Source organism: Homo sapiens, chromosome 2, assembly GCF_000001405.40.
Source record: "Homo sapiens chromosome 2, GRCh38.p14 Primary Assembly".
NCBI lineage: Eukaryota > Metazoa > Chordata > Mammalia > Primates > Hominidae > Homo > Homo sapiens.
In genome coordinates this window covers 39715946-39735977 of record NC_000002.12, presented here as the reverse complement: position 1 = coordinate 39735977, position 20032 = coordinate 39715946, and the positions used below count along the sequence as shown (strand labels likewise).

Genomic DNA, 20032 nt, shown 5'->3' with positions numbered 1-20032 from the left:
GCTATGTTTGGGTAATTTTCCACCCTGTGAATCAGCTCCCCAAAGCAGAAGTCATAAAATCTGTTTTCCAGCCAGGGTGTGGAAACCTGGGCCCCTGGTATCAGGTCCACCCATGTGCAAGCTATGGCATTTGTGCCCAGTGGCAACACAAAGCGATCTTCACCAGAACATTCCTCTCCTGAGGTTTCAGCACTGCTCTTGGCTACGTAGCCACCGCTAAGCTTCTCTCTCTGGCCTTCCTAGGAAATTCTAAGAGCCACCTACTAATCTTGAATACATTTCATTTTTGCTAAAACTAAGTAAATGTGGTTGTGTTGTTAACAGCTGGGACTCTGATAATGGAGACTGATACTCTGAGGGGTTTCAAGCAAGAGGCCCCCAGTAATGTGAATTCGTTACTCGGTATCTGGCCTACTTGGGTTAAAGGCAGTGAGAATACAGCTAGTGTTATAGAAAGTGTATGGCATGTGATGGTGAAGCAGTTCATAATGCCTGTGCTTACCTGATGCTCTGGGAAACACCAAAAACCTGAGGAATACGAGCCCTATGAGGCGGGCTATCTGCTTTTGGTAGAACTTGACAACTCAAAGAAAAAGCAAGATTTCTGTAGTCCTTATTCCTTGGGTTAAAGCAGGGGTCTCAGCCAGCGGCAATTTTTGGTCCTCAGAAGACATATGGCAATGTCTGCAGACATTTTTGATTACCACAACTTGAAGGAGGAGAGAGATACTCCTGGCATATAGTGGATACTGCGGATAAAGGATGAGAGATTAGGTTAACAAGGTAATGGGTGGCAGGTAGAGGTGGTATATTAGATGAGATGGGGCCTTGAAGACTATTTTAAGGGCTTTAGCTTTTACTCAAAACCACTGAAAGAGTTTTGAATAGGTGATGTCACCTAACATATGTTTTAGGATACTGTAGCTGCTATATTGCAAATTGATTGTAGGAAGAGAAGGGTGAAAGTAAAGAGATCAGCTGGGAGTTTTTTGCAATGATTCAGGCAAAAGAAAATGGTAGCTTGCCCCAGGGTGGTAACAGTCGTGTTGGTAGGAGGCACATGGATTCTGGATGTATTTCGAAAGTAGAACCAGAAGGATGTACTGATGTGTTAGATGTGAGGTATGATAAATGGAGAGGAGACAGGAATGACTGAAGACTTTTAGCCAAGAACTTGGAACAGTAGAGTTTTCATCAACTAAGAGAGGAAAGGCTGCAGAGGCTGCAGGTTTGGTGAGAAATATCAGAAATTCTGTTTTGGACTTGCTAGTCTAGACACTCTAATTTAGACTAGTCTAGACAGTCTAAACTAGCAGATCTTGTTTAGACTTGCTTGCTAGACAGTTTTAGACTTGCTAATTTTGAAATATGCATTAAACAAAGTGGAGATGTTGATTAGGCAATTGAATATGTGAGTCTGCACTTTAAGAAAAAGGTCTGCTCTGGAGATACATTATGGGAATTTTCAGTATTTAGGTGGCATGAAACTGGATGGGATCACCAAAGGATTGGGAATAGGAGAATAAGACCAGGGCTGAGCCCTGAATTCCTCCCATACTGAGAGGTTGGCAGGAGAAGAGGAAACTCCAAAGAAAACTGAGATGGAACAACCAGTGAAATAGAAAGAAAACCTAGTGTGGTTGCCTGGAAGACATGAATAAAGGGTATAGAGGAGGAGTATTTAACCCTATAAATGCTGCTAACTGACCAAGTAAGATAACTGGAAATTGACCATTGGCTTTAGCAGTGAGGGAGTCATTCATGACCTTGACCATGGGGCTTTTGGTGGAATGGAAGGGGAGCAAAACCAGACTGCAGTGAGCTTAAGAAAAAATAGGAAAAGAGCTGGAGATAGTGAGCATAGACAGTTCTTACAACTAGTTTTGCAGAACAGGTGAGCAAAGAAATAGGAGTAGTAGATTGGTAAAGAGTGTGAAAGCAAGAGAAAGATTTGTTGGGAGAAGTAGCAGCTTTTTTTTTATGTTAAAGAGAATTCCAGGAAAGACGAAAAGATGATGAAATAGGAAAAAAGGGCTAAGTGCTAGAGCGACGTCCTTGAATAAGGGGATAAAATGCAGTCCACAATTGGAGGAATTAGCTTTAGACAGGAGCATGATAATTTGTTCACGATTACGGGTAGGAAGACAGCATACAGACATTTCAGCTATAGTATGATAAATATGCTCCTAAAAATTTTTTCATTCTCAAATTTATGCACTAAAAATAACAATTTATGAAAAAGAAACATAAATTCTGGTTGGGGAAAACCATTGCAAACATCCAATTTTGCAACCTGAACACTAACAGAAACACCAATCTTAGTGAAAATATTGGCACAGTTAAGACATTATATTCCTAATAAATATGTAAGTAAATAAGGACTTCACCTTTCCAAGAAAAGGGCAATGTCACCTTGATAGACTAGGCATAAAGAAGGGTAAGGAGATGCTGAGTTACACAACAGGCACTGTCTGCCTGGCCAAGGCAGAACCTGCGGCCAAGATGAACCAGAAAAAGCCTGTGATGATGGACGTCATATAAAGAGCCTTATTCCGCACCTTGTTCGTTCAACTCATTCCATTGGCATCCTTCACGTTCAGCTGCTCCTGTCTGGTGACACAAAGCATTAATATGCTAAAAAGAAAAAATCATGTATGAACCAACCCAATTTCCACATGAGAGTGACGTCATCTCCTTACTTAGCAATATTCGATTTAATGCCTATTACAGAAATACGTGTTGTAAGAGAACAGATTATAAGTGGGAGCAGATGCTGGAAGGTGGGCGGATGTGGTGGTGGTAGACTGTGGAAATTCTCTTTCAACTACTTCAACTTTCTCAGTGACAAACCATCCGGTAACTTACCCAGTGTCTGAGTCTATAGCTGGAATAGCTACCCTCAGCAATTGCAGAATACCCATAATGGCTTTCTGATCCATGGAGTAAGGGTATAGATTTTTGGAAGGGCTGATGTCACACTCCTTAGGTTCCCCTTCTTACCGAAATAAACAAAGGCAATACCATATATTTGTAGGAGCTGCAGATGTTAGTGCCAACACTAAGAAAGGCACGGATGTTGATGGAACTCTGTGGCATCTGAAGGCAGCCTACATGAGCTTTGGATTTGCTGCTCTGACTCATTTACTGTTAATTGAGGCCTGGGCTAAGAGATGGCTCTCTACTTGCACCAGCCCTACTGTAAGCAGCTCCCTAATGCCCTTAGAGACCCAGGAGATCTGATGGTGCTCAGAGCAACTGGGGCAGACCTGGAGGGTGTGTGAAGCCTGCAGCAAATCCCAGTAGAGGAAGCACAGCTGCAGCATCTTAGCTTTTGGAGCAAAGCCAAGCTCTCCTATGCAAGTTAATTATTCTCCTTTTGGAAATAACTCTTGACTTGCTATTGGGGCTTGCTTCTGAGGGCTTGACCATGGGACACTAGGTGACCATATGACCTAAGCTGCCCATCTTGAAGTAATGACACGCCAAGCCAAAAGTCGCATGGACCCAACCCAGCAGCACATCCTCATCAGATGGGAGCGGTATATATCAGCATTGAGTTCCACATGGCTGACGGCACTCATGAGCTGCAGGGGCAGTCAGTGCTTTTTCCTCTCAGTGTGCTTCCTGCCACACTCACCCCTCCCTCATAGCCATGGTCTCATGAGGAGTCTCCAGTGAGCAGTTCACCAAGGAGAAAAGAAGTCAAATATGGCTTACAGATGACTCTGCAAGTTTTGCTGGCACCTGTGGGAATTTAATTGCAGCCCCACTCAGGGTGAAAGACAGGAAAGAAAGTGGGGAAGTTCTCCTCCCAGGGAGCAGAACTTGGAGTAGTCCACATTATACACTTTTCCTGGAAGGAGAGATGGCCTGAGAGGCAGATCCTCAACATGTCATCCTCATGAGTATCAGTTTAGATGGATGGTCAGGAACATGAAATAAGGTCTCGGGAAGAGGAATGTGGATGGACATGTTATACTAGACCCCAATATAGGTGAATATTTTTGTCCTATTGGAATGGTCTCAAGAGGCCATACTGTGTAGGAGGTTCTAAATATGTAGTTGGAAGATTGCCTGCCCAGTGCCCTACCCTTTCCCCAGCCATCCTGGTGCTTGCTCAGTGGCCCCATAGACAATGGTTGCAGAGACAGACAGAAACAATGCACTGGCCCAACAAGGACTTCTCGCCAAGATGTGGCCACTGCCACTGCTGACTAATTTCCAGCAGCAGTGACCAACCCTGAGAGACTTAATATAACACTACTGCTGTAGCTTGAGTTTGTCCTCCTGGAAGCTCACATTGAAATTTGATTCCCAACGTGATGGTTTGGGGAAGTTGGACCTAGTAGGGGTATTTGGGTCATGTCGGTAGATATCCCTCATGAATGAATCAATGCCCTCTTGAGGGAGCTAGTTCATTCTCACTCTCCCAGGACTAAATTAGTTACCAGTGATTGGCTGTTGTAAAAGAAGTTCTGCTTCCTAGACATTCTCTTGCTCTCTTTGTACCTACCCACTCACTTTTCTGCTTCTCTGCCATATTTTGAGCCAGCCCATGGCCCTCACCAGAAACTGACCAGATGTGGCACTATGCTTTTGAACTTCTCAGCCCGCAGAATCATGGGCTCAATAAACAACTTTTCTTTATCAACTACCCAGTCTCAAGTATTCTATTATAGCAACACTAAATGGACTAAAACAACTACAAACAGGAGGGGAATTATATTGAAGACCCTCCCCCTTGTGAAGAGGGCAATAATTTGTCCTCACTGGAATAACTATTTACTCTGTATTTGGATTCTTTATGCCAACAACACCTTCCATGAACTTAACAAATTGCCTTATTCACTATCATTCATTTCCATGTAACAGTGCTTCTCACTAAAGAGCTTATTTTACAGGGATGACAGTGAGACAAGAGACTGAGGCTCATGGGATTTCTTGTCTCACCATAAGGCCTTACGGCATGATGGAATGGCTTACTGAACACCCAGTTATTGTGCCAGCAGGAAGATAACTCCTTGAGAAGATGAGATGTCTCCATACAGGATACTCTGTGTGCTATGAACCAACAGCCAATAGATGGTGCTATTTCTCCCATAGTCAGAATAAAGAGCCCAAGAGCTGAAAGTGAGAGTGGTACCTGTTACTATATCACTCCTAATTACGCTATTAAAATGTTTGCATCTTATCACTAGAGTGTCTGGGCTCCCTGGCTTAGAGGTCTCAATGCCTCTTGTTCCAGATGGAAACCTTCAGTGCTGTCTGCTATTGCATAAAAAGTCAAGACATATTCCATACCATCCATTGGTCTCTCCATCTCATGGAAAGATCAGTTACGTTAGAACGAACGACCACACCACCACCACCAATACTGCCACCAGCCTGTGGGTCTCCTTTCTTACAGGGCAACCATGAGAAAGGAGCTTTCACTAGGGGAATGCATAAGCTTCTTGGTGCCAGACAGTCTGGATTTGGTCTGTCAGCTCTTTACAGGAATTGTCTAGAAAGCCAGCTGCCCTGCACGTGGGAAACTTGACGGACCTAGTGATCTTGGGGACACATGATATGTTACAGTCTCCCTGCCAGGGAGAGGCAAGGGGAAAACCACCAGTTGTATGGGAATCTGAGCTTGAATGTAGTCAGCCCCTTTTTCTGAGAAAAGAGGTGCCCCCAAATTCCCAGCTGCTCATTGTCCATTTAATCCACTCTGAGCACCCAGGGTCATTCGTGGAAACCCTCCTCCTTTCAAAATCATTCCCAAGAGAGGATTTCTTCTGTCAGCAAACACAACAAGAAACCATTGAATTAAGAGGTAAGACTGCCACCCAATTATTTTGGGTCCTTGATTCCACTGGACAGAAACACATAAACAGGTTGAATTATGTGGGCTGGAGTGTTTGTTCCTAGTAATCAGAGAGAGGTATGTCTAGAACCCAGTGTTAACCTAGGTTCTTACCAAGACCCGAGATGAGACGAAGGTTTTTTTGGAGATAATTTATTTTGGGAGCTGGGGACTGGAAGGAGTAAAAGAGAAATAGGGAAAAAGGTAATCCAAGGATGCACTGTTGAGCTGATCACCACTGTGAGAAGCTGGGATCTGATCCTGTAGGGCCCCTCTGAAGACCTGTATAGGATGCAACCCAGAATTGTCTGCTTAAGGAGCAAAAGAGGAGAATATCCACCAGCTCCTGTCTCCCATTGGTCAAGAGTAGGATGACTTTCAACTCCCTCCCAATTTAAGACTTCCATCGCATAGTTTAAACCCTAACTTACAGAATATCAGATGGAACTAGAGGAGGAATGGAAGCCACCCAGAAATCATGTTCTTGACATGGATGTGTTACCCTTGTCAGAAGGGGAGAGGATGAGCAGGTTTTTCTGTCAAGTATAATTGCATATTTTACATGCGAATATTGGTTGGTTGGAGGAAGTTTAAATATCAAATTAAGAACAGATATTGATGTTGGGCATCCAAAGGGTACATCAAAGTGGTGAATTATCGTATTTTCCAATGTTTGAGTCCCACCTCTCCAAGGCAGAAACCAGAACACCAGCTTTTCCGACCTATATTATAGGTAGAATGGGGGCCAGACACTGACATATGATAATTGGATTCAGATGTGAGCTATGCGGAGGAACCAGGCACCATGGAATCCACTTTCTGGGGGAGAGGCAGCAGAAGCATCTGGCCTCAGGGGCTAGCTGGGGTAGAGGACAGCATTCAGCGTTCAATATCCATGGTGCAAGCTATGGTGTGGATCCCCGGCAGGGGTGGCAGTGAATCTTTGAAACTACCATCTTGTTGTATGGTTTGGATGGTGTTCCTGGTTGTGTAGTCCCCTAGATTAATTTTCTGGCCCTATTGAGCATTCTAATTTTTTTTTAATGAATTCCTTTTCTGCCGAACAACCTAGAGTTATTCTGTTGATTGCAGCTGGGGGCGCTGTGCCACACACCAAGGTTACTGAAGCACTCTCCTGCCCTGCAGGCTCTGCACATCTCATTCTCAGTGGAGTCCCTCCAAATGTTTTGCATTTTTTCTGTTACCATATTTTCTAGTTGTCTATTTTATCAGTATTTGGCACCCCTCTCCAAAATCATTTTTAATGTTTTGGCCTCCCAAAGATTTTGAATAATACAGTCTTTGTCATCATCTGCCTAAGCCTTACATACATCTTTAGGAGAAAAGAAAAAACGTGTAGGGGTGGACTCTGTGACCAAAATGCAACAAACGATGGGTTAAAAAAAAAAAATTCATTTCTTGACTTGAAGTGAGTGACAGTGATGTAGATCGTAAGAGGTAGCAGTACTAATGATCTCGGTGTACTTTGCAGAATTAAATCATGATTTTAGTCTCTGCTAAAATATCTTTAATATTAAATGCATACAACTATAAAGTTTTTGAAAATTTATGAAAATTTGAGGATGTCAAATAAATGGAGTACTATTTTATAGCATTTTTTCCTCCTCCAGAATAGGGTACAGAGTGTGGCCCAGAAAAGAACAATTAATATTTTTTGAACTAAATTGAACTAGCTCCTGGTAGGAGAGAATAAATAAATGCCTGTAGATCTGAGAACAGTGAATCAAAGGGACACTCGGAAACCATTCAAGAAGCAGACAGCTGTCCAGGGAGACACCGACTTCCTGTGTAACCTAGAAAGCTAAGTCTCAGAGAAATGCAAATCAAAACCACAATGAGATACCATCTCACGCCAGTTAGAATGGCAATCATTAAAAAGTCAGGAAACAGATTCTGGAGAGGATGTGGAGAAATAGGAATGCTTTTACACTGTTGGTGGGAGTGTAAATTGGTTCATCCACTGTGGAAGTCAGTGTGGCGATTCCTGGAGGATCTAGAACTAGAATTACCATTTGACCCAGCAATCCCATTACTGGGTACATACCCAAAGGATTATAAATCATGCTACTATAAAGACACATGCACACATATGTTTATTGTGGCATTATTCACAATAGCAAAGACTTGGAACCAACCCAAATGTCCATCAATGATAGACTGGATTAAGAAAATGTGGCACATATACACCATGGAATACTATGCTGCCATAAAAAAGGATGAGTTCATGTCCTTTGCAGGGACATGGATGAAGCTGGAAACCATCATTCTCAGCAAACTGTCACAGGGACAGAAAACCAAACACCTCATGTTCTCAGAGATGAGAAATGAACAGTTAGATCACTTGGACACAGGGTGGGGAACATCACACACCGGGGCCTGTCGAGGGGTGGGGGGCTGGGGGAGGGATAGCATTAGGAGAATTACCTAATGCAAATGATGAGTTGATGGGTGCAGCAAACCAACATGGCACATGTATACCTACGTAACGAACCTGCACATTGTGCACATGTACCCTAGAACTTAAAGTATAATTAAAAAATAAAAAAGCTAAGTCTCAGGGATTCAAAATAAACTGAGGTTTGAGAAGAAATGCTCACTTAGATATTAAGTAAATGTGTCGGTTCAGAGAGCTATGCAAGAAAGCCCTTGGACTAAAATTAGGTGAGATGCAAAGTCTTAGAGAAATCTTGCTAATTAAGAAATCCAGGTGAGTTTTTTTAGTGCATGTTCATATTTTGCCATAGTGTTAGTAGCCTTTTCAAATCTTGTTATTTATTCATTTGTTCATTTGCTTCTTTATTTACTTAGCTACCAGGCAGTTAGTGAGTACTTGCTCCATGTCAGGTTCTGGGAATGCTCCTTGGTAAACTGGCCCTGCCTGAATGGCTGCTGTGACAGCTATCTGAAAGGGATGTGAGCAGGAGCAAGAGGATACCAGCCAGAAGTCCGGGCTTCTGAGATAGAGGAATATCCTTGACCTTTGGAAATGGAGGGATGAAACCACTCTCTGGAACACCTCGGCAGAGAGAAAAATGAGCTGAGTCGAGGAAAACATTTGAGAGAAAAATTATGGATTGTTGGAAATTTAAAGAAACAACTCAAAACGTGCATGAAGAGCTCAGCTTTTTATCTTAAATTCCATGAATTATGTTCAAGAGAGTCAGGAGATTTGAAGTGTAATTTTGCCATCTGAATGCCACAATCATTTAATATTGTCAGTTTTCATTAAGTTTCTTCAGTGAGAAACTGCCTGCTCGAGATGAAACAAATGACAGCAATTACTCCAGGGCCCTTCCTTACCCACCCCCAACCCTTACACATTATTTCTACCATTTTTTGGTCACCCTGCTAGCTGCCTTTTTGTGACTCTTGCCCTTGGTATCCTACACTTTGTGAGATTGACTTCACCTTGGAAGAATGGGCACATTAACCATATATTTTGCCAGATAGACCTAAACGCCCAGTACTGGCCTCTGGGTATTAACATGGAAACCAAGGACAATTCATTCACTGGGCCAAAGGTATTTTGCCTGTTTTTCTGTAAGCCAGATTTTATCACTCTTATGTTTGAAATCCTCCAATGACTTTCCATCTTACTCAGAATGAAACCCGAAGTCTTGGGTTTTATTGGAAAGGTGTTCAAAGGGTGCTGGATAGCCTGGTTTCCCTCTTACTTCATCTCAACACTCTCACTTTCATTCTACCTTTTGCTGACCCTGCCACATGCAAAGCTTGTTCCCATCCCAGGCCTCTGCACCTGCTATCTACCCTTCCTGGACATTCCTCAGGACACCTGCATTGCTCAGGCTCTCTGTGCAAATGTTTTCTTATCAGAGAGGCCAACGCCAGCTTCCCTAAACTGGCCATCCCCTCACCTTTAGCACTCTATTCTCCTAGCCACCTCATTTTTCGTTCATAGCACATATCACCACCACCTACTGCACAAGCCCTGTTTTATTACTGTCTGTCTCTCTGAGACAGACACAAAGGAAAAAAGAACAAATTATCTTTCCCTGAAGGAAGATTTTTTACTTTTTTCCTTTGTCACCTTACAATGGCAGCTTTTTGAAGGCAGCAGCTTTGATTTATTCACTATGTATTCCCTGCACTTAAATCAGTCTCTGGCACATACTAGGTGCTCTATAGAGATGTGACAAATCAAAGAACACATGAATGAGCAAGTGAACACAACTGGTCATTCATTTGACCACATGTGTCTTTGTTCCACAGTATTGAGATGTCCCTATTTTTGCCGAGGCCCTAGAACCATTTTGCCACGGTGGACCTGCTCCTAAAGTGACACAAAGAGTTTGAGTCTACAATCGTATGTTAGGCCTGAGAACAATAAAAGAAAAGTAACCTTGAGAAATAGAGGCTGTGAGGCAGCAAGTCGGCTTCACAGACCAGGGATCACCATCTTAGTGATGCGTCATTCATTTATTCCCTCATTCCTTCAACACACATTTACTGGCATTTCCTCCACACCCACTGACATCCCAAACAAGTTACTTTTCATGGTCATCTGCCAACCAAGTGAACACAGCCATAAAAGTCCAGAATGCTGAACCAAGTTTCCCCCGCATTGACCAAATCCATGCATTCCATTGTCAAAAGGAAACAAGAACAAATTGTCTTTCCCTGAAGGAAGATTTTTTTCTTCCTTTGTGATATTGGAATGTATGGAATCGTGCAACACAGAACCAGCTCCTCAATCGTTACTAGGTAAAAGCTTGACATTTTCTGACACCTTTCTTGATTATGTAGGCGTATCGCAGACCCACAGGCTAATTGCTTTAAAGAATAATGAAATTGTACTGAATTTCCTCTTAACTCATTGTATTCTTACTCATCTGGCTCCTCAAAGGAACTGGTTTTGTAGGGGTGTTTGGGATAGGGTTCTGAGGGCCACTCACCCGTCCCACCCCGCATGGCTCTACATGGCTGTCCCTCTAGCTCACCCTCGGTCTTTCCTCATCTTCATTTCACTTCTCTTGAAAACCATTCCCCTACTCCTGTGAACACTCTTTAAACTGTTACTTTATTTGGAGAATTCTTTGTTTAAGAACTGGTTCATCCCTTGAGTCAATACTGTATTAATCACATGCGTCATCTCCCCCAGATTACCTTTCACAGTTGGTTTAATTTCAATTCCCAAGTCCAGTTTATTTGAGAAACATGTTGGCATGATAGCGATTTACCATCGTCACCACAGAGTCCTGTAAAGTAGAGGCTGCTCGACATGTTTGCAGGAATATAGATACTTGGACATGCTGACCTCAAAATCTACCTCGCTTTTTTGCTGGGGAGGTGAACCTTCTGCCAGAGACTGGCTGAGAGATCTTGGGTTAATGCTCTGAGTCTCTGTTCCTCTGCTGTCAAAGAGAGATGACCATTATAGTTTCCATATGCCTCCGAGGCTGTCTTGAGGTTTGTTTTGGTTTGGTTATGGGGTGTTTTCTAAGTCACTGCACAGCGACCAGTCTCTCAAAGGGAAAATACGAAATGAAGTACTGTACTTTCCTTGAGATATAATAAAAAAATTTGGAAGGTTTCCTTGTTTTGACTCCACATCAGATGGTTTTATTTTATTGTTAGTGTAACTTAATATGTTATGTTTTTTAAATTAGTTCACATTCAACTTGGATAAAGGAAATAAAAGTTTGTAGAGGTGTTCAAAGTGATTTTCAGGCTTCTTAAATGTGTGGTTATTACCAGCATTCTTGCAGGGCCACACATCAAGACAGTCAGGGAGAAAGGACGGAAATTCATGAGTCTTTGAGTTGCTATCCTACCTCTAACCGTAAGGCTAGATAGCCTCTTTTTTTTTTTTGAAATAATTACTTTCATCTAATAATTTAAAAAATGCCGTCAGGGATGCTGTCACAGGACAAAGTAAGGAGGACATACCCACTTAAATAGAGATCTTTGAGCAGCCCTAGTAACACGGGAATTTCTCATAATGTTCTGTGGGGGAAGTGCCAAGAAGGTAATTAAAATTGCTGTCATACCTTTAGGCTACTGCAAGCTACAGGGTCTCTTGAAGGTCAGTCACGTAAGGAGAGATTCTGTGCTTACAAAAATAGGTCTGGCATTCTTTACAGAATTACAAAGTGCAGTGTGTGCTCTGGCTTAGAAATATAGAAGCTTGCTTAAAAACTATAGAGCAGTAACTTCCAAAGGGACCCTTGGAAAATGCAGGGGAATGTGAACCTATCTAGATGTATAACATGTTGACAGTAGGCTCAGATAGGGTTAGAAATGCACTATGGAAATGCTGCTGGGTCTTGGGTAGTTGACGTGGATGCTGTGCAGGAAGGTGGAAGGATTTTGGAGTGAGCAAGCTGGAAACCAAATCTTGGCTAGTATCTTAGGGAAGGTTACTCAACCTCTGTGAGCCTTGGCTTCTCTACCCATAAAGTAGGGGCAAATAGTAACAAGATATGGTTTATAAAGGACACAGCCTGACACAGTCACTGAGGAGGTACTGAGGCAGTCCCTCACCCAGGGACTCAGTCTCATTAATGCCAAGAAACAGCACTGGAGAAGCTTTTGAGAATCCGAGCTTTCTCTGCCACTTCTTATTTATGTTTAGTACTTACAAGAATGAAGGAGACCTAAAAGTTAACAATAATATGGCTCCACTGCCATCCTCTTAGAATTAATTAAGTGCTTTATTTATTTACTTATATATCTATTTATTTTTTGAGCAACCAACAGAGTCCAGAACTAACAAATGGCAAATCAGGGCTTAGAGGAGAAATGAGAAAACTTCAACAATTTATTCAGGTCTTTAAGTTCATTTTAAACTCTTGTGATTAACAGATTTAAGCAATATGATAAGTGCAATGTGTTTTACCTGTGGGGAATGAATTTGAAGCCCACTGAAGCCACAGCTGAGTGAAGTTCAGTTCAGGCGTGGCTAGGTTTCTAAAGCAAGTATTTATGTGTTCATCACAATCAACCTAACAGGCAAAGCTATGAGGATGGAAATAAAAGGTGTTTTATGATTAAAGAATGAAATGCCCTGAACTGTGATTGCGTTCTGGGAGCAAGTCAAGGGAGCCCAGGCCCTTTGTGTAGGATCCAGCGGAGCCTCCGTGCACCCTTGCTATAGCAAGGTTTCCATGCCCTTTCCAGAATCCCCAGAGGATGCCACTTCACAGTTAGCCAGATATTGAGGGAATTTACCTCTAAGGTCCTGATTTAGAACACTTGCTGATGAACTTGAGGGTACAGTTCATCCATCCTCACACCCACACTCAAGGCAGTGGCCTGGTCAGACTCTGGGCCAACCAGGATAAGCACTTCACTGGGACAATGGTCTGTTCATTAGGAACATCAGCCCTAAGATGTGGGAGTTTATTCTCAGAATTTCTTAGTGAGCTCCAAAAAAGGGAAATGCTTACCTGAAGCAGACCAATAGTCTATCTGCTGTGATTTAAACTGGGGTTGGCCAGTATGTGACATCTGCCTTTCCCATTCATTCACAAACACTACATCTTTCCCCTTTGTGCCTGGACTGAAATCTTCCCAGCCACCACTAATTGATCAAGTTCACACTTAAACTGAATACTATCTTCAGGTCTTAGATGCACAACTTCTGGAAAACAACTGGAAATCAGAGAGGAATCGGCTGGCAGCTGGGTCAGTTAGCAAGAAGGAGCATTTGGGCCATTGATATTTTCTCAACTACAGTTTTCAATTCCAGTCTCCATTAAATAAACGCTATCCTGTATAACGCTGAGTTAACCATAAAACTTAGCAGTTTTTTCTTTTTCCCCTTTTCCCCAAATTATTGTATCTCCTTTTTGATACAAGAAGCAGTTCCCTTAGTAATTAACCTAACTCTACAAATTCTTTAGGTGTCATCCTTAACTTCCCTTGTTTCCCCACCGCCATGTAACTTACCAGCAAATCAATTCCATCTCTAAAATATGTCCACCTACTCCTGTGCATTTTCATCACCACCCTCTCCATCCAGGCACAATTTTGTCTCCTGGGTTCCTATGCAACTTCCTCCTTCCTAACTGGGTTCTTCTCCTCTAGTGGTGCCTCTTTAAATCCATTCTCCATCCAGCAGCAGTGGCAACACTGATTTTTTTTTTTTTTTTTTTTTTTTTTTTTTTGAGACTGGTCTCACTCTGTCACCCAGGCTGGAGTGCAGTGCAGTGGTGTGATAATAGCTCAATAGCTTCTAGACTCAAGCAATCCTCCTGCCCCAGCCTGCCGAGTAGCTAAGCCTACAGGCATGTACCACCACACTTGGCTAATTTTAAAAATGTTTTTATAGAGACAGGCTCTATTTGCCCAGCCTGGTCTTGAATACCTGGACTCAAGAGATCCTCCAGCCTCAGCCTTCCAAAACACCGGAATGACAGGTGTGATCCACCACACCTGGCCAACTGATAGTCCTAAAGTGGAAATCAGATCACATCATTATCCTTTTTTAGGCCGTTTGTTTTCAATTACCAGAGTAAAACCCAAACTCTTTACTGTGACCAGCAAGCCTCTGCCTACCTTGGCAACCTCACCTGCACCACTCTTCCCTTGTTCTTTCTGCTCTAGACCCATGGTCCTGTCTCCTTCCTCTCTGCAAAACATTCACTTAGAGACCTAAGAGAAACCAAGCATAGCCAGACCTTATAGTAGCAGGCAGTATTTTATAGTGAATGCTGAAGGGGAGAAAAAAATTGGAAATAAAAACAGAAAAAATGCTATCTTCTTTTATAGCCAGCCAATCTGTTTTCCTCTTACAGGGGCTCCAGGCAGACATATTCTAATGTTTTAGGACAATTAGAAATCTTGCTTTGATGCCTGGCAAAACACAGGTTGCATATTAAGAGGAATATGTATTGCATAGCCAAGTTCCCAGTATGCAACTGGGTGCCCTGAGCATCTTCAAGCATTTGTGGTTGTCCTGCATGCAGCACAGAAAACTTCCTCTTCTTCCAGTCAAAGGGCAAGGCCCCAGAGAAATTCATATGCAATTTAAATGTGTTCTTCGTCAGGATAGCTATTTGCATTCAAAGGAAGTCATTTCTGAAGCATTCCTTTCAGAATTCCAATTAGGGATTTGAAACACACATGCACATAAATGAGAACGCTTTAAATTGAGGTGTAGAACCATATTGAGGTTACTAACTTAATGTTTGAGCCATCAAATAAATGTTCCACAGTAGTTCATAACACATTTTAAGTTACGTCTAGGTTGGTTTGGGTTAATAGTCCCTTTAATTATTCTAATGAGGTTTCCTTGCTTGCCAAGCTATATTCTCTTTCCATTTAGCCTCATCACACGACTGTACATTTTTTATGGGCTCCCTAAAATTGGTGCTAAGGGAGTCAGCTCTGTCCAGGGAAGAAAAGAGTTTATCTATGACTCTGAATCCATGTATTGATTCCACAAAGATTTAAGAGCACCTACGGTCTACCAGGCACTGGGTGGGCTGAGCACCGGGACAAGGCACAGATTCCTCCTTGAAAGAGTCTATGATCTGGTTATGGGTTGCCAGGCAATTCATGTGCGGAGCGTAACTGGTCAGGAAAGGATTTGAAGCAATGCAGCATGTTTGAGGAAGGTGTCCGGGAGTGTTGTGTAGAAGCTGAGACACAAGGAAAAGTCAGAATAAGCCAGGCAGAGGAGGGGGTGTCCCCAGCAGAGGAAAGAGCCTGAGCAAAGATCTGGAGTGGGTGGTTGCCTAGGCAGTGTGAGTATCCCACCTGCACCAGCCTCCATCAGGTGGTATATTTTGAGCTCGTGGGCCCCCATTCACCTGAGTCCCGGGTTCCCAGGTTTTTATTCCCTCTAGCTCACTTGTGGGGGCACACTTTTGTCATTCTCAGACTTCAATTTCGAATAAGAAATCTTTAAGAGGCACCCCCCACCCGGCCCTTGCAAAAAGTTAGTATTTTTTTAACTTGCCAGGGCTAGATTCAAATAATGAGAATGTTGTGAAGTATGAAATGCACAGCCAATGGGAATGTAATTTAAAAGAAACTTATTTTAGTAATTGAATAACTTTAACCCTGGACTTACAAAACAATTTAGGGCCAAAAAGAGTAAGCTTAATTTTTTTCACTATGTCCTTCACTGCATTTTTCTAGAACATAAGCTTTACCAGGGCAAAAACCTTTGTCTGTTTTGCTTCATTAATGTTTCCCAAGTGCTAGAATGTGAGCACATAATAGCCATTCAGTAAATATTTGTTGACTATATAAGAAATGTTATGGGGGCTATTATGTTCTGTGGAGGTTTCCCATATCCTGGGAAATCTCGATTATCGAGGGTCCATGGTAGTCCTTGAAAGATGAGGGAGGCTTCCCCGAGAATGGACAACACTGGTTCTAATACAGCAAATAAACCAAGGACAAGTCTGTTAAAAAGGGGGGTGTGTGGGACAGAGAGAACATAGAACAAAGGATTTCAATAAATTATTCTGTCCTGCACAGTACTGTGCAATCATTTCAATCATTCTTCATTCACAAGCCAGTTAAGAAAAAACTCCTAAGAGAAGCCCAAGGACTCAGGGCCAAATGCCCAGCACTGGCAACATTTGCCCACACTTGCGTGACAGTAAGTAGAAAGCGAGGAACCTTGGCCTGGCACGTTGGTTGCTTCGAGCTCACTTTGGCTGGAAGGCAGGGAGCCTCAGTCCTTGCCAGCACTCGTTTGAATCCTAAGTGAACTCCCCTGGCTTCGAGGCAAATCTTTCTGGTGTGTGAACCCTTCAACCTCCTGCTACCGCGAGGCTTTCTTCCACTCTCACCTCAAACCCCTAGGAAACTTCTCTGAAACTTCAAAAGTTACTCACTCAGACACTGCTTTGTTGGTTGGAATATAAATGTCCAAGAGTCTTGACATCTTCTATGGGGATCTTTAAAGAAGACTTCAAAGAAAGAGCTCTCCTGCTTTGAAAATAATTGACCCTTTCTATACGTCTCTGATCTCATCCAGAGGGACCAGTATATTAAAAGGCCTGAGAGAGTGCCAGTGAATACACTCATGAGCCTGTGCTGTGCCTGGAGCCACGGAGCCAAAGCTGGTGTGGTCGCCGGCATCCTCCAACCCCTTTCGGCCCTTACATGACAATATGTGGACACCATCACTTGGAAATCAGACTCTATCCTTTGGGAGTAGATGATCATTTTCCTTTTATGAGGACTAAATCAGTTTTTATAAAGAAGAAAGAAAAGAATCTTTTATGAAATCAAAATCTGAAACAGCATATTCTGGAATGGCGTCTTCTATTTTACAAGCTGTCTTTATCCTACATTGTGTGTAGAATCGGGAACAAGGGTTGGAGTTAAAAGGAAAAGCTTAGAAGTCGGCGAGTGCCCCACCCTCCGCTGAAAGATAAGCAAACACAACGGAAGAATTTTAACTGTTGTCCCAAACCCACACAGAGAAAAAGGATCGAGAAAAAAAAATGAAGCAAATGTTTTGAGTCTGATCCTCAGCTTATGAGTAACATAAAATAACAGCACTTACCTCATAGAGCTTTGGAGAGGATTAAGTGAAATAACACCACAGCCCAGTTACTGGCACATAGTAAGTGCTAAATAAGTGAGTTCGCTTTGTTAGTAGCTAAGGAGATAACCACGGTTCTGGCCCAAATGAGTGGCTCTCAATCACAGCTGTGTATCAGAATCATCTGGGATGTTTTTACAAAAATGCTCAAGCCTAGGCCCAGCTGTGGATATTCTGAGTTAATTGGTCTGGGGTGAGGCCCTGTTTAGGTACAGCTGAAGACCTCACCAGGTGACTCTGAGCAGCCAAGGTTGAAAATCGCTGCTTTAGGAGGTCCAAGAACAAAAACAGAGACCATGTATCCTTATGACTGGATACATACCAGGCAGATGGTAAACAGGGGAGGAAGAGGAAGAGAGAGGGGAAAATGAGAGAAAAAGAGAAGGAGAAGAAGAAAATTGTAAATAGTATAGGAAGGTTTAAAAACAAGTTTGAAAATGACATCTTTTGTCAATAGCAAGTGTGTGGTTGCTACAAAAGATAATAATGCCCAACCTAATTGAAATGAAGCAATTATTAAGTCTTAATAAGAGTCTTATTAAAACAACAGAGTTTTCCTCTGTCCTTATGGCTAGGGAGACCTGTTGACACAGCTAAAAGACATAGGAAAACACACCCAGATTAACAAGGGGGCAGTCATTTAATGCAGAAATCCAGTTAACATAAAGAGACAGAGGTTGAACAACAGGTCTTCAAACAATACTGCATAGTGTCACGAGTTAGCTCTTAAGCACGTTTGATCTGTTTATCTTATGATTTCGATTCCAGTACAAAGACAGAGAAGAGACTTAAAAAAAAAAAAACAATAAGGCAACAGAAGAAGAATCTTCCTGTGACAAGGAACGTCCACAAATAATGCACAAATATTTGGTGCTGACACAATAAGACACCATCAGGACAAGTTCTGAAGATGCTGCATTAAAATTTAACAAGCATGATACAATGACAAGAAAATTATACTCGCTTTGTTACGAATCCTTTTGCAAGTAGAAATGACTCTCGGGTAATTGTTACATACAAACTTTCTGAAATAAATGGAAATCATACAAATTTTTCCATTGCAGTTTCTTCTTTCTCTACACCTAGAAATGTCCCATGGCACTGCTCCCTATTCTCACAGTCAACGCATAAATAGTCATTAAAGCACTTGAATCCACAGTAGTCTTGTCCTTAGAAAGGTTGGGAGGTTTTGCATGATTTTCTATCAGTAATCCAGAAAGGGCTGGCAGGCAACAGGTTGGAATGTAAAAGACCGCTTTGTGCTTGGACTCCTGAACTCCGCGCTGTTCCCCTCAGGAGTCGCTCGCACTGTGGACAGGCCCAGTGAGGACAGTCATACCGTGGAGTCTCTGCCAGACTTTAGCTGTGCAATCTTGGTCCGGCTAATAAACGGATAAGCGATGCAGAGACCTCCAGCTGCCACAATAAAGCCTAAACTGCACCAGGCGCAAAAGATGGACCAGCTGTAACCATGTTCCACATCAGCAGGCAGGCTATAAATTAGCTTTGGGAGCCGGTTCAAATCATACGAGATACTGGCGGCATAAGTACAGAGGGAAATGGTGCAAAATATCCCTATAAATAATACAAAGAGAACAGAATGATTAGTTACAGTTTGCCTGTTACAAGACAAATGCCAGACAGGCCTTTATGAAAATCAGATCAACCACTGAGGCAGTCACTCCAAATTCACAAATGATCCATAATTATTTTACTTGAATTAATTCATATAACAAACATTGGCAAAACTTCTGTGTGCCAGACCCTACACTAGGGAATGGAGATGCAGGAGTGAAAGAGACAGGAAAATTCTGATAACCTGAATTATTCAGAATTATCTAATTCAAATGGTTATATATATTGGAATTCTTTTTTTATTCTTAAAAACAATAAAAGTTCTATTTTTAAGAGAAAAACTTCTATAATCACTCAAATCAAGCACAAAATAGTTTTCATTTTCCTTCGCTCTCCACCTAATTTCATACAGTTATTCTGTTGTAATCGTTATACAACATCTGCTTTCTTTTTCAATTAACATTATCATAAATATTTATCATGTTGCCTTAAATAATATTTTAGATGAAGTCATACAAGTAGCTAAATCTTTTTTGTTAAGGCACAGTCTTACATATACCATATGATGTAAAATAGCTGAGCAAGGAGATCATCCATTTCAACCATTCAAAATGGAGGCAATTGGAGTGACATAAGGAACATGGACAGACCCAAAACTTTGCTTTTTAGACCAATCCATGTGTGTGTAATTTTCCTTCTGCAACACTAAAATCAGGACTGATTTTAAAAATACTTCATAAGCCCCAAACACAGGATTTTTAGTACTCAATTCATGTGGATATAGGTGCTTCTATTCCACCGCAATGGACCCTCAAGATGCTCCTTTTGGATAGGCAGAGGATCAGAGTGTGGTGAGTAATAAAAACAGAAACTGGCACCCAATCAAGTATCAGAATGTCCAGTTCTGTTCTGAATCCTACACATCTCTTCTTCATAGTCTGGTTTATCCCTGTATACAACAGAGACAACATTTATTGACTGGAAAATTCCTTTGGCATCCTTAGGGATACACGTAGCATCTCCACTGGAAACAGAGACACAGATTTTGAAACTGAAAAGAGAGA

At 42.1% G+C, this 20032-nt stretch overlaps 1 protein-coding gene across 7 annotated transcripts in view, besides 2 other annotated features; it reads right to left on the bottom strand.

Moving 5' to 3' along the window:
- Positions 1–17: 17 nt before the first annotated feature.
- TMEM178A (transmembrane protein 178A) overlaps positions 18–20032 on the bottom strand; it is a 70478-nt gene continuing 50463 nt past the window's right edge. For 6 of the 7 annotated variants that reach the window (NM_001167959.2, NM_152390.3, XM_005264144.1 and 3 more), the window contains one exon: positions 18015–18968. In NM_001167959.2, the coding sequence (NP_001161431.1) occupies positions 18727–18968 (242 nt within the window). In that variant the 3' untranslated portion in view covers positions 18015–18726. Of the gene's footprint in view, positions 750–18014; positions 18969–20032 lie in introns of those variants that run through there. The other variant, XM_024452702.2, reaches the window with a different exon arrangement.
- Positions 13956–14455: an enhancer, noted in NCBI's record as "H3K4me1 hESC enhancer chr2:39948663-39949162 (GRCh37/hg19 assembly coordinates)". NCBI's record gives its function as "activates a minimal SCP1, AML or CMV promoter by ChIP-STARR-seq in primed H9 embryonic stem cells {active_cell/tissue: H9 hESC(primed)}" and the evidence as "EXISTENCE:reporter gene assay evidence [ECO:0000049][PMID:30033119]".
- Positions 14456–14957: an enhancer, noted in NCBI's record as "H3K4me1 hESC enhancer chr2:39948161-39948662 (GRCh37/hg19 assembly coordinates)". NCBI's record gives its function as "activates a minimal SCP1, AML or CMV promoter by ChIP-STARR-seq in primed H9 embryonic stem cells {active_cell/tissue: H9 hESC(primed)}" and the evidence as "EXISTENCE:reporter gene assay evidence [ECO:0000049][PMID:30033119]".